General features: G+C 42.2%; 1 protein-coding gene across 5 annotated transcripts in view, besides 1 other annotated feature; it reads right to left on the minus strand.

Moving 5' to 3' along the window:
- PRICKLE1 (prickle planar cell polarity protein 1) overlaps positions 1–12916 on the minus strand; it is a 132990-nt gene that overhangs the window by 46648 nt on the left and 73426 nt on the right. The window lies entirely within an intron of this gene.
- Positions 7234–7981: an enhancer, noted in NCBI's record as "OCT4-NANOG hESC enhancer chr12:42904440-42905187 (GRCh37/hg19 assembly coordinates)". NCBI's record gives its function as "activates a minimal SCP1, AML or CMV promoter by ChIP-STARR-seq in naive H9 embryonic stem cells {active_cell/tissue: H9 hESC(naive)}" and the evidence as "EXISTENCE:reporter gene assay evidence [ECO:0000049][PMID:30033119]".

Here is a 12916-nt window from a genome sequence, read left to right on the forward strand (position 1 = left end):
TAGATTCTTTGCAGTGCTGGGTAGTAAAGAAATTAAGACACACTAAAATCCCCGGAATTTTCCCAAAATAGACTATCACAATACAAATCTTAACTAAAGTAACTACTGAGAAAAGAACACAGACCTTACAGAATGATCATGAGAGATGGTCTATTTGAGCTCTTCAGTGTAACATACACACACAAAACAAACAAGAGCCACTGACTTCAATACTTGTTCTAAGGAAAGCACTAAAGTAAAAATTAAGAAAGCTGATTTCTCTTCTGAGTCTTATAGTCATAGAAGGGTGAATGCACAAAAATAATTCATATATGAATATCCCTAGCCATTGGGGTAATTCTCAGCTATGGGAATCTGATTTACCTCCTCACCTTCTTTATACCTTTTCCAACTCACTTAATAAAGGGATGAATGCTAGGTCACACCTGAGGTTCCTGTAATCTCCCGAAATTCCTCCCAGTGTCCTCCCATCATGAATCTGCCTATAATTCAAAAAGCGGGTTCTGGTTATTTAGTTAAGTAGCAAAGGGAATTCTTGGGGAAAAGTGGTTTGAGACCAACTTTAGCTTAAATTCTAGGTCTGTGGCAAAAAAACAGAATCAAAAACCCACTTCCTCACAAAAATCATATGTGGATTTTAGAAGTTCTAAATGATACCAGAATATCAACTCTGTGGATGGTTTAAAAAAGGGAGGAAAATGAGATATGAAGAAGAGCGAGGTCTGAGGAAAATTCTGTATCATAAAACGTGAGGACCCGTAACAAGCAGGGGATGTTAGCAGTTGATTGCAGATTTCTGAAAATAGAGGCCAGAAAAGGCTCAGAGGCACCACTCCTGGATGTGAGTCCTGGGCATGGTGCCAAGAAAAGAAACTTCTTACTCAGGAATATTTGGTGGGCAGAGTACAGGGAAACTGCTTAGTTATAATTCAAGTGACTTTAAGGAAAATACTCTGACTGGGGAATCAAAGAATACCTGCCTCCAAAAAGCACATTTAGTGGGCAGAAAAATCTGCACGGAACTAGCGTTGCTCTGGAACTGACTCTACAAATGTGTTGCTTCTCTCCTTTTGCAGCACCCAAGCTTAGTAGGTGTATGAGGGAGCTACTGTTGATGTAAAATGAGTTTTGTTGAAACTGCTGAATGAGATTTGTATTAGTTAGTGCTCTGTGGCTGTAAGTAACAGAAACCAAAGTAACTTAGGGGGAAAATGGTGAGGGGCAATAATTCATTGGAAGGATACAGAGGTGTCTCAGGCTAACACAAGGGCGGGAATGCAGCTGAGCTTCAAAAAATGGCTATAATTCAGAAATGGAAAACCCCCGGACATTTAGACAGCATTCTTTCTCCATTCCTGTCTCTGCTAATTTCTGGTTTAACACTTTATTTTTCTCTCGTTGCAGACAGACAGGACTTTATGGCTCATTGTTCTGTAAGGTTAAAACATGGTCACTTAGCTGGGCACGGTCACTCATGCCTGTAATCTAGCACTTTGGGAGGCTAAGGCGGGTGGATCACCAGGTCAGGGGTTTGAGATCAGCCTGACCAACATGATGAAACCCGGTCTCTACTAAAAATACAAAAATTAGCCGAGCGTGGTGGCGGGCACCTGTAGACCCAGCTACTCGGAGGCTGAGGCAGGAGAATCACTTGAACCCAGGAGGTGGAGGTTGCAGTGAGCCTAGACTGTGCCACTGCACTCCAGCCTGGGCAACAGAGTGAGACTCCATCTCAAAAAACAAAAAACAAAAAACAACAAAAACACGGCTACTTCACAGTTCTGGGGTTAGGATCCATTATGATTGCAAAGGGTCCACCCCTTGGCCATGTATCTGTGTGGGTAGATGGATCTGGATTTGTGTGAGTGTTTGGGCTGGAGGCCAGTAATTCAGCAAAGGTGGAACAGTTTTGTCCTCCACAGGTATTCTAAAAATGTCATTTAAATGGATTAAAACATTCTATTTGTAGAATAAGGCAACAGCACTTGCTATTAGATATGATGCATGGGAATTAGGTTGCCTTTGTTTTTTTGTTTTTGTTTTTGTTTTGAGACAGAGTCTCACTCTGTTGCCCAGGCTGGAGTGCAGTGGTGTGATCTCGGCTCACTGCAACCTCTGCCTTCTGGATTCAAGCAATTCTCCTGTCTCAGCCTCCAGAGTAGGTGTGACTACAGGCACGCACCACCATGTCCAGCTAATTTTTGTATTTTTAGTAGAGATAGGGTTTCACTATATTGGTCAGGCTGGTCTGAAACTCCTGACCTCAGGTTATCCACCTGCCTCAGCCTCCCAAAATACTGGGATTACAGGTGTAAGCCACTGAGCCCGGCCCAGGTTGCATTTGTTAGTTGTGCTCCAACAGCAATTGATGCTGAGTGGACTGGCAATGTAAGAATCACCTGGAAAGCCTCTTAAACTACACAGAAGCCTCAATCATATCCCTACAGATTTTGACTCAGTAACTCTGAATTAGGATCCAGAAATTTGCATTTAATGTAGTCTCCATAGATAACTGCAATTTGTACCTAGGTGTAGGAACTACTGGTCTACAGACATCATTCACTTTGGTTACCAGCTCTCCTAAAAAAGTGGTAACGTTGTGGAATAAGAACAAAAAGTTATTTTAAGTTTTCATTCATTAGTTGGTTAAGGCGAAATTCTACCCGGACATCGCAAAGTCTTCAAGGTTGCGTATCAAGCACCCATGTTGCTGAGTGACTCTCAGGACTTTTATGAAAAGTTCCGAAGGGGAAGTGATTTTAGGGATTTGACCCATCTGAGCTAAGATGTCTTTCTCAAATGAAAGTTAACTTCATTAATTATATAAGTAAAAAATGTTCTTTTTTCTTTCTTTCTTTTTTTTTTTTTTTGAGATGGAGTCTCTCTCTGTTGCCTAGGCTGCAGTGCAATGGCGTGATCTGGGTTCACTGAAAACTCTGCCTCCTGGGTTCAAGCGATTCTTCTGCCTCTGCCTCCTAAGTGGCTGGGATTATAGGCACCCACCACCACTCCCAGCTAATTTTTGCATTTTTAATAGAGATGAGGTTTCACCATGTTGGCCAGTGTGGTCTTGAACTCCTGACCCCAGGTGACCCACCCACCTCGGCCTCCCAAAGTGTTGGGATTACAGACGTGAGCCACCGCGCCCAGCTCAATAGTGTTCTTTTTTTTTTTTTTTTTTTTTTTTTTTTGAGACAGTCTCACTCTGTCGCCCAGGCTGGAGTGCAGTGGCACGATCTTGGCTCACTGCAATCTCTGCCTCCCGGGTTCAAGCAACTCTCTACCTCAGCCCTGAGCAGCTGGGATTATAGGTACCCACCACCATGCCCGGCTAATTTTTGTATTTTTAGTAGAGACGGTGTTTCACCATCTTGGCCAGGCTGGTCTTGAACTTCTGACCTTGTGATCTACCCGCCTCGACCTCCTAAAGTGTTGGGATTACAGGTGTGAGCCACCGCACCTGGCCATGTTCTTTTGGCATAGCTTGTGGTACTGGTTTTGAGCCACAAAACCTTTGAATATTATGGTTTCTCTAAAATGTTTGTAGGAGGGGTTAGAAAAACAAAATGAGAAATATAGAAATCAAGGCCATTTCATCATCTAATATCTAAACCCATTATTTGGGGGACATGCAAGGCTTAATTTTAATTATGCATAGTTTCTGCAATTTCAACACATTTCTTATGCAAAAGCTGTATGTTCATGAAGCTTTTGAGGTGAGTGCTGCTCCCCTGGATGTAAATTAACTGCTGTCCTTCTGGGTAGGGCTGTTGAAACTTGAAGGCTGCTGGGCAGCTGCTGTCTCCCTGCGTTCTGAGTGTTCATTAGTGTTCCGGCACACGGACTGACACATAGCAGGCAGATCACGTGTCATTTGGGGGATAGGGGATAGTTACTGAAAATACTAAGCAGATCAAGTTGTGTAGACAAAGCAGAAAAACAATTAAAACAATGACTCTTACAGACAAAAGATGGAAAGGGTTTTGAACCCTTTTGAACTAAACATACCCTAACTCACTGGGACACCACAACTTGTTATTTGCCCTAAAGTGACCACTGACAAATGATTCCATCTGTTCACAATTGTATCTCTTGCTCCTCTCTGTTGTAACATTATTCCTTTCTCCTTGCACCAGTTCTATAGCTTTTCACTTGCTCAGTCTTCTGATTTATTATATGGAAGAACTTTTTTTTGAGCTGTTATGATCACATTATTGTAAGGAAGAATTCTTCTGGAGGAACTAACCTCCATTCCCCATCATACAGTCAATGAAGGTTGCATTGCACTGAGCAGGCGGCAGAGCCTAAATGATGTTGACTGACATTTATAAAGCCAAAGCATCTGTGTTGATTTAATGCAGAGAAACAGAAGATGACTATAGTCAGTCATGTGATAGACTAGACATAAGCTTATCTCCAGCTTCAATCGCAGTATTGACAATGTTAATTTTTCCTCATTAGCCAGAGAATAAGATAAACACATATTGGAGGATACACAGTATAAGATTATAGCTCCTGTTCCTGTGTGATTTTATCAGGATATAAAATGCAACGATGTCAATCTCATTTGGATTAATCCATCAATTTGCCCTTTTTGGGGTTTTATAAAAGTTAACTACACAAACAAGCAATAGTGAACATATATTTCAATGGCGATTTAGATACCATTTTTATATTTTTAAGAACTCATGAAAAGATAATTCTTTTATAAGGGCTCTAGTGGAAAATGGAAAGAATAGAGAATGTGGCTTTGAGAAGGAGGGGGGAACAGGAAAAGGGAAAGGGGGTGAAATGTTGGCCTTAGACTAAGTATTTTTTATAAAGGATCCTCCACGCTCATACTGCTTCAAGGCACTAGGAGCTTTATTATATCGGCAATAACCTTAGCACAACATCCCTTCCTATTAGAATATCCTATACCATTACTTTAAACTTTTTTGGCTTAAAATTCAAGTAGGCCTGAACATTATGTGCAATGTAATTCTCACAAGTGAGCTACTGTTTAAGAAAAAAAGAAGGCAAGTGGTAATAAATCTGTAAATCCCTACTGCAGTTCTCAGGATAACATTTATTGGTCTGGGCTCAACTGTTTTATACACGGGTATATAACATACACCAAATTAGAAATGTAAAATTCATCAACAGGACTCATTGATAAGGAACTGCTTCATAAATAGCTTTATTTCTTAGAGGTAAAAGAAAAAATACATATATATATGAAAAGAAATTTGCTTTAGGTTGAACACATAGAAAGTATTTCAAAATTGCCTGGCTTTAGACACAGGTGGGCAGACAGGTACCAGAAGCAGTGGAAAGGAAGAAGGGGAGAGGGATGCACTTTCAGGGTGCTTGGAGATTGTGGCGCTCTATTCTGATTCTGGAATGGAGACGAACAGGGCTTGTCACTGTAGTTCTGCTTCTACCACTAACTGGCTAGAAGACCTTTACCCTGGGGACCTCAGTTTCTCATCTACACAGCGGCAGATGATCTCTAAGTTCTTTTGGCTATGAAATCCTATAATTCTCTGATTCCTTCAGTTTATAAACCCTAGGAATAAAGGTCAGTTGTATATATAGGGGCCAGTTTAAACCCAAAAGCTATTTTAGAACCTGTTGCTCCACCCCAGAGTGATGAAGTAGAAACAATTGCATGTGGTTCCTTTGAGAACAGCAGCCTGCCAGTCTTCTGGGCCCTGTACTCGCAGAGGAGACCACAGCCGGTGATGGGCCTGACAGTCTGAGCAGCCACACAAGGACTTTTTGTCTCCGTGGGGTTTAGACAGTATTAAACTTCAAATGCAAGTGCTAAGGCATTTACCCTAAATTCTCGATCTCATCTGTAGTTCCTTAGTCTGAAATGGAAAATTCTATTTTGGGAAACTGCCTAGAGACGCATTTAGGCTAACATGAAGGAAAAGTTGGAAAGCAAAATTGAATATAAAACATGGAAACTCTCAAAGAACTATTGAAAAAGGAAAATAAAATTCTTCCTTTAAAGCACACTCCAGAATTAAGTTCCAAGGGTCTTTCCATATCAAAAAGGATGCTCCCACAGCACCATCACTTCCCTGCCTTATTCTGCTCACCCTTTATTTTAGTTGTCTGTTTGATGTCTGTGGTCTCTGCTGGGTGGGACGACTTTGGAGGATGGAGAACCAGAGCACCATGCTCAGTGCAGCAACACATAGAAGGAACTGGACAAAGGTTTGTTGAGTACCTGAATGACTGAATGACCAGCTTGGGCAACATAGCAAGACCTCGTCCTTAATAACAATAATAATAATAATATAAGACTACCACTTACTATATTTTTCTACTTACTGCTCTACTAATGGCCTTTACTAAGAAATAGCTCATGTCAATTTGTCCAAAAGATTATCAAAATCATGGCCCGGCGAGGTGGCTCACACCTGTAATCCCAGCACTTTGGAAGGCTGAGGCAGGCGGATCATGAGGCCAGGAGTTCGAGACCAGCCTGGCCAACATGGTGAAACCCTGTCTCTACTAAGAATACAAAAATTAGCCAGGAATGTTGGCACACACTTGGAATCCTAGCTACTCAGGAGGCTGATGCAGGAGAATTGCTTGAACCCGCAAGGTGGAGACTGCAGTGAGCCAAGATCATGCCACTGCACTCCAGCCTGGGTGACAGAGCGAGACTCTGTCTCAAAAAAAAAAAAGATTATTAAGACAATTTTTTTATTTTTTGAGACGGAGTCTCCCTCTGTCGCCCAGGCTGGAGTGCAGTGGCGCCATCTCTGCTCACTGCAAGCTCCGCCTCCTGGGTTCACGCCATTCTCCTGCCTCAGCTTCCTGAGTAGCTGGGACTACAGGCGCCCGCCACCAGGCCCGGCTAATTTTTTGTATTTTTAGTAGAGATGGGGTTTCACCATGTTAGCCAGGATGGTCTTGATCTCCTGATCTTGTGATCCACCCGCCTCTGCCTCCCAAAGTGCTGGGATTACAGGTGTGAGCCACTGTGCTCGGCTATTAAGACAATTTTTAAAGTCTGGGCACAGTGGCTTATGTGGGCAATCCCAGCACTTTGGGAGGCCAAGGTGGGAGAACTGCTTAAGGCCAGGAGTTTGAGGACCAACCTGGGCAACATAGCAAGACCCTGTCTTGATTAAATTTTGAAAAACAAACAAACAAAGAGCATTTTTAAGGGAGAAAGCATAACTTTTTTTTTAAAGGTTTTTAATTGGCTTTCATTTGTATTTTATTCCTGGTATAATTAATCTTTTTTAATGAATAACTATCAATGAATTCCCAAAATTGATGCTATTTTCCCAAAGATCTTTATTGAGATGGGCAATTGGAAGGTTTGCATCTTCGTAAAAATGGAGGCTATGTCCTATGTCTGTGTTATTACGGAAGAGCTTGAAAAACCTTTATGTATGTGCCTAGTAAGGACACTAACCTGCTCTGTTAAAAGCTCTAATAAAAAGTTGTGTGATAAAAATGCCAAGGCTTGCTTATCTGAAAAGGTTCTTCCTAGTTCAAAGGGTCAGTTTCACACCAGGGTCCCAAGTCTTATCAGCTGGCTCTTCAGAGCTTTGCCATTGTAAAACAAAAGGACTCCTCCAACTGGCATGACAATGGTACAATCACCAGACACTTCAAAAGAAGCAGGCCCAGCACAGGGGATGCCCTGGGTGTGCCCCTCACTGTGATGTTTACACACAGGTTCCAACAGCTCTCCCACAATAAAACCAGCCAGAAGAGTCAAGGGCACTGTGCCTGCAGGGCAGTCAAGGATTCTGTCTTTACCAATAAAACCAGAGGGAAACTTCAGTTTAAACACCATTTACTTTAAACACTGCACTCTCAAAAGACAGGGTCTCATTATTCTACAAGGGTGAGGAGACTGCTGGAGAAATGGAAGTTGAGCTTCAGGGGCTGCATCCTTAGCACGTAATTAGAGAGAGGGAAAGAAAGAAGTATGTCTGCAGATAACCCAGAGTAATCTGCAGGTGTCCACATGAATTTTGCAGATGTGGATAAAAATAAGAATAAAAGACTATACTGGCTTGCAGGATGCAAAGAGAAAGCCTCCAGGTATGAGATTAACAGAAAGTAGTATTTATTGAATTTCCTCTGAGGGTCTGGCCTTGTGGTGGGTGCTCTGATCCATTGGCCTTGTTTGTTTAACTTCCCTGAAAATTAAAAATGAAAACCTACTTTCCCAAATCAGGTTCCACAGGAGAGGGGGGTATGGAAATCCAATGTCTGTGAAAATTATTGAAGGCTTACCCTTGAGTTTTCCTAGCCCTTGCTTGGAGATGTGTATTAGAGACATGTATAAAGAGTATTATTTCCAAGAAACCCAGCCACCTAGATGCTGGAAGCAGGGGATGAATAGGGAACAGCTTGATCTCTTCTGGAACAAAGGTTTACTTGAAAGGTTTTCTTTACTTCTCAAAGCTAGATATTGTGCTCTGTACATTTCTAGGATGCAAAGAATGCTTGAAAAAACAAGGAAACAGTCTCCCATTATTATAGGGAATCTTTTGTATTTTGCAAAGAGCTTGGCTTTGCTAAGGACTAATGGACTGTGAGGACTGTGAGGCCGTGATCTGCATCTGACTCCCCTTACACCATCATTCTACCCCTCTGGGGTTGTGCTATTCAAGCAACCTTCCCTAGTTCTTTCCAGGTTCTTGTCCTTGCTTCAGCTCCAGTGATGTGCCTGAATGCCCCAAAGGATGGTCCCATTACAAAAAAAAAAGATAGGGTTCAGACAAAGTTTCCAGATATGGACAGATATGTGTTTTGGTTTTTTTGGAGACAGAATCTTGCTCTGTCACCCAGGATGGAGTGCAGTGGCGTGATCTTAGTTCACTGCAACCTCTGCCTCCCAGGTTCAAGCAATTCTTGTGCCTCAGCCTCCTGAGTAGCTGGGACTACAGGTGTGCGGCACCATGCCCAGCTAATTTTTTTTGTATTTTTTGTAGAGACAGGGTTTCACCATGTTGGACAGGCTGGTCTTGAACTGCTGACCTTAAAAGCGATCCACCCGCCTTGGCCTCCCAAAGTGCGGGGATTACAGGCATGAGGCACCGTGCCCAGCTGGACATTGTGTTTTTATCAAGTAATAATTTCAGCAAGCATTTTAGTGTGCCTATTATGTGTCTACCTTATTTAAAACTGTATCCCCTGCCCTCTCCCTATTCCACATTCTTCATCTCTCTTTCCTGAGTTATTTATCTTCATAGCACTGATTTCTATCTGACATAGTATGTATTGTATGTAATCATTTTGTTTTTTGTGGGGGATGGAGTCTCACTCTGTTGCCCAGGCTGGAGTGCAGTGGTGTGATCTCGGCTCACTGCAACCTCTGCCTCCCGGGTTCAAATGATTCTCTTGCCTCAGCCTCCCAAGCAGCTGGCATTACAGGCATGTGCCACCACGTTCGGCTGATTTTGGCCCTAACTAGAGAGTCAGCCTCTCTTTTGAAGTTTGGAAGTCAGGCATTGACTTCTCTTCTCAAGCTATGAAAATCCAAGATGGCATCCCAATGCCTTAGAGCCCACTTTGCCCTAAGGCATTATTATTATTATTATTATTATTGTTATTTTTATATGTAGTTTCACTCTTGTTGCCTAGGCTGGAGTGCAATGGCACCATCTTGGCTCACTGCAGCCTTCACCTCCTGGGTTCAAGCAATTCTCTTGCCTCAACCTCCCGAGTAACATTACAGGCGCCTGCCACCATGCCTGGCTAATTTTTGTATTTTTAGTAGAAAGGGGGTTTCACCATGTTGGTCAGGCTGGTGTCGAACTCCTGACTTCAGGTGATCCGCCCCCCTCGGCATCCCAAAGCACTGGGATTACAGGGGTGAGCCACCGCAGCCCAGGCTGTCATCATTTTGTTTGGTCCCTTTCTTCACCTCCCACCCCACTAGAATGCAAGCTCTACATAGGTAAGGATCTCTATCCATTTTGTTCACTGATGTAGCTCCAATACCTGGTGCATAGTAGGTACTCAATTAATATTTGTTAAATGAATACAGCTGGGCACTCTTGTAGTCCCAGCTACTCAGGAGGCTGAGGCAGAAGAAGTGCTTGAATCCAGGAGTTCTAGGCTGCAGCGTGCTATGATAATGCCCGTGAATAGCTGCTGCATTCCAGCCTGGGCAACATAGCAAGATGCTGTTGGGCTGGAAAAAAAAAAATGAATAAGAGCTGCTCTTTGCCCTTAATTAATTCACTGTCTACTCCCTCTATTTACATATCTTCAATGCTGTCCCCTATGTCTCTCTCTTTTTAAAGTTTTGGTGTCTCCTTTAAAAAATTATTATATAATAGGCTGGGTGCAGCCTATTATATAACCTGCAATCCCAGCACTTTGGAAGGCCAAGGCAGGTAGATCACTTGAGGCCAGGGTTTTGAGACCAGCCTGGCCAACATGGTGAAACCTCGTCTCTACTAAAAATACAAAAAATTAGCCAGGCGTGGTGGTGCATGCTTGTAATCCCAGCTACTTGGGAAGCTGAGGCAGGAGAACTGCTTGAACCCAGGAGGCGGAGGTTACAGTGAGCCAAGATTGCACTATTGCACTCCAGCCTGGGCGACAAGAGTGAAACTCTGCCTCCAAAAAACAACAACAAAAAAGATATTATACAATAAAACATGGATACAATCTCATTGTATATTAGGAAGCTATTCAGTTTAGTACATGCAATAGCCCCAAGACTATAACCATCTCAAAATTCATTTGGTGCTTTTCAAAATCCTTTGAGGCATCATCATTGCAATAAAATAGTCCAACAGTATGGTATACAAATACATCCCCAAATCATGAAACATTAATGAGCTAATAAAAACAATTAGTTTCAGTTGCAGCAACTGAAACTATGTCTTCTATTCTGGGATTTAAAATCCTTTTATTTTCTGCATTTCATACTTTCCTCTGTGTATGCTTGTGTGTCAGAAAATGATTAAACCTCCACCTGCTAGTTCTCTTATCTCATGGTTCTTCAGTGGAAGAAGAAAGATCATCATCTTTTTTTTTGTTTTTCCTGTGGATCTCTTGTCAGTGTCCCCATAAGAAATAGTTATCTAAATATAACTTAATTACTGCTACAAAAGAATGATTTCACTAATGCATGCAGACCAACAGAAACACCTTGGGAAACTCAAAGGCTGATGAGCTAAAATTAAATCTGAACACTTATCCATTATATGCTGTCAAAGGGCTTGTCAGATTGAAAGATCCTTATTATCAAACAAAAATGAAAAGAAAGTTTGTTTGCCCCTCGTGACCTATTCCATTTTTTCTTTTTTAAACCTAATTTTTTTTTACAATTATACAAGCACATCGTTTAAAAACCAAACAGTCCTAAAAGGCTTGTTTTGAGAAACAGCAGTTCTCAGTTTCTTCCCTTTTCTGCTTCCCCTCTGTTAGTTGATTCTTTTAGTATTTATCTCCATTTCTCTAGATAACATACTGATCTTACTACTCTAACTTTTTTTAAGGCTCGCTCTATCTATCTATCTATCTATCTATCTATCTATCTATCTATCTATCTATCTATATTTTTTGAGATGGAGTCTTGCTCTGTCCCCAGGTAGGAGTGCGGTGGCATGATCTTGGCACTGCAACTTCCGCCTCCCAGGTTCAAGGAATTTTCCTGCCTTAGCTTCCTGAGTACCTGGGTGCAAGCCACCACGCCTGACTAACTTTTCTATTTTTCAGTGGAGATGGGTTTGCATCATGTTGGGCGGGCTAGTTTCCAACTCCTGTCCTCAAGTGATCCGCCCACCTTGGCCTCCCAAACTGCTGGGATTATAGGCATAGGCATGAGCCACCACACTTGGCTCTAAGGCATTATCTATTTTTTTTTTTTTTTTGAGATGGAATTTCGCTCTTATTGCCCAGGCTGGAGTGCAATGGTGCCATCCTGGCTCACTGCAACCTTCGCCTCCCAGGTTCAAGCGATTCTCCTGCCTCAGCCTCCCAAGTAGCTGGGATTACAGGTGTCTGCCACCACGCCCGACTAATTTTTGTATTTAGTAGAGACGGAGTTTCACCAAGTTGGCCAGGCTGGTCTCGAACTCCTGACCTCGGGTGATCCACCCGTCTCCCAAAGTGCTGGGGATTACAGACGTGAGCCACCGTGCCCAGCCCCTAAGGCATTATCTGTTAACTTCTACCCACACTCTATCCCATGTACCTTTTCATGGAAGGTAAAATTGTTGAAAGCTTACATATCTGAAAATATATTTTTCTATACTTAACCTCAAATGATACTTTGGTGGACTCCTGAATTCTAAGCTAAAACTGATTTCTCTTTAGAACTTTGAGGGTTCTGCTCTGCTATCCTCTGGCTTCCAGTATTGCCATTATGATTTTCATCCTTCACATGAGAACTTGTTTTCTTCCTCTCTAAAAGGCTGTAGAACCTACCTTTTATGTTCCAGTATTCTAAAATTACCTGATGATGTACATTGGTATGAATCTACTTTCAAACACTGTACACAGTACTTGGTAAGCCTTTAAATCCAGAAATTCATGTCCTTCTGTTCAGGAAATTTTCTGTAATTATTTATTTGATGACATTCTTTCTTCCATTTTTCTCCTGCTATTTAGATACTGGATCCCTGGACTGGACTTCAAATTTTCTCATCTTTTCTCTCCGATTTTGCATTTCTTTGGTGTTTTTACTTTCTAGGCAATTTCCTATACTGTAGCTTCCAAGACTTCTAGCAAATGGCCTTCCATTTCTTCTTTCACTTTTTTTTTTGAGACAGAGTCTCGCTCTGTCGCTCAGGCTGGAGTGCAGTGGTGCAATCTCGGCTCACTGCAAGCCCCACCTCCCGGGTTCATGCCATTCTCCTGCCTCAGCCTCCCGAGTAGCTGGGACTACAGGTGCCCACCACCACGCCTGGCTAAGTTTTTGTATTTTTTAGTAGAG

This window comes from Homo sapiens, chromosome 12 (assembly GCF_000001405.40).
Source record: "Homo sapiens chromosome 12, GRCh38.p14 Primary Assembly".
In the NCBI taxonomy this organism is placed as follows: Eukaryota; Metazoa; Chordata; class Mammalia; order Primates; family Hominidae; genus Homo; species Homo sapiens.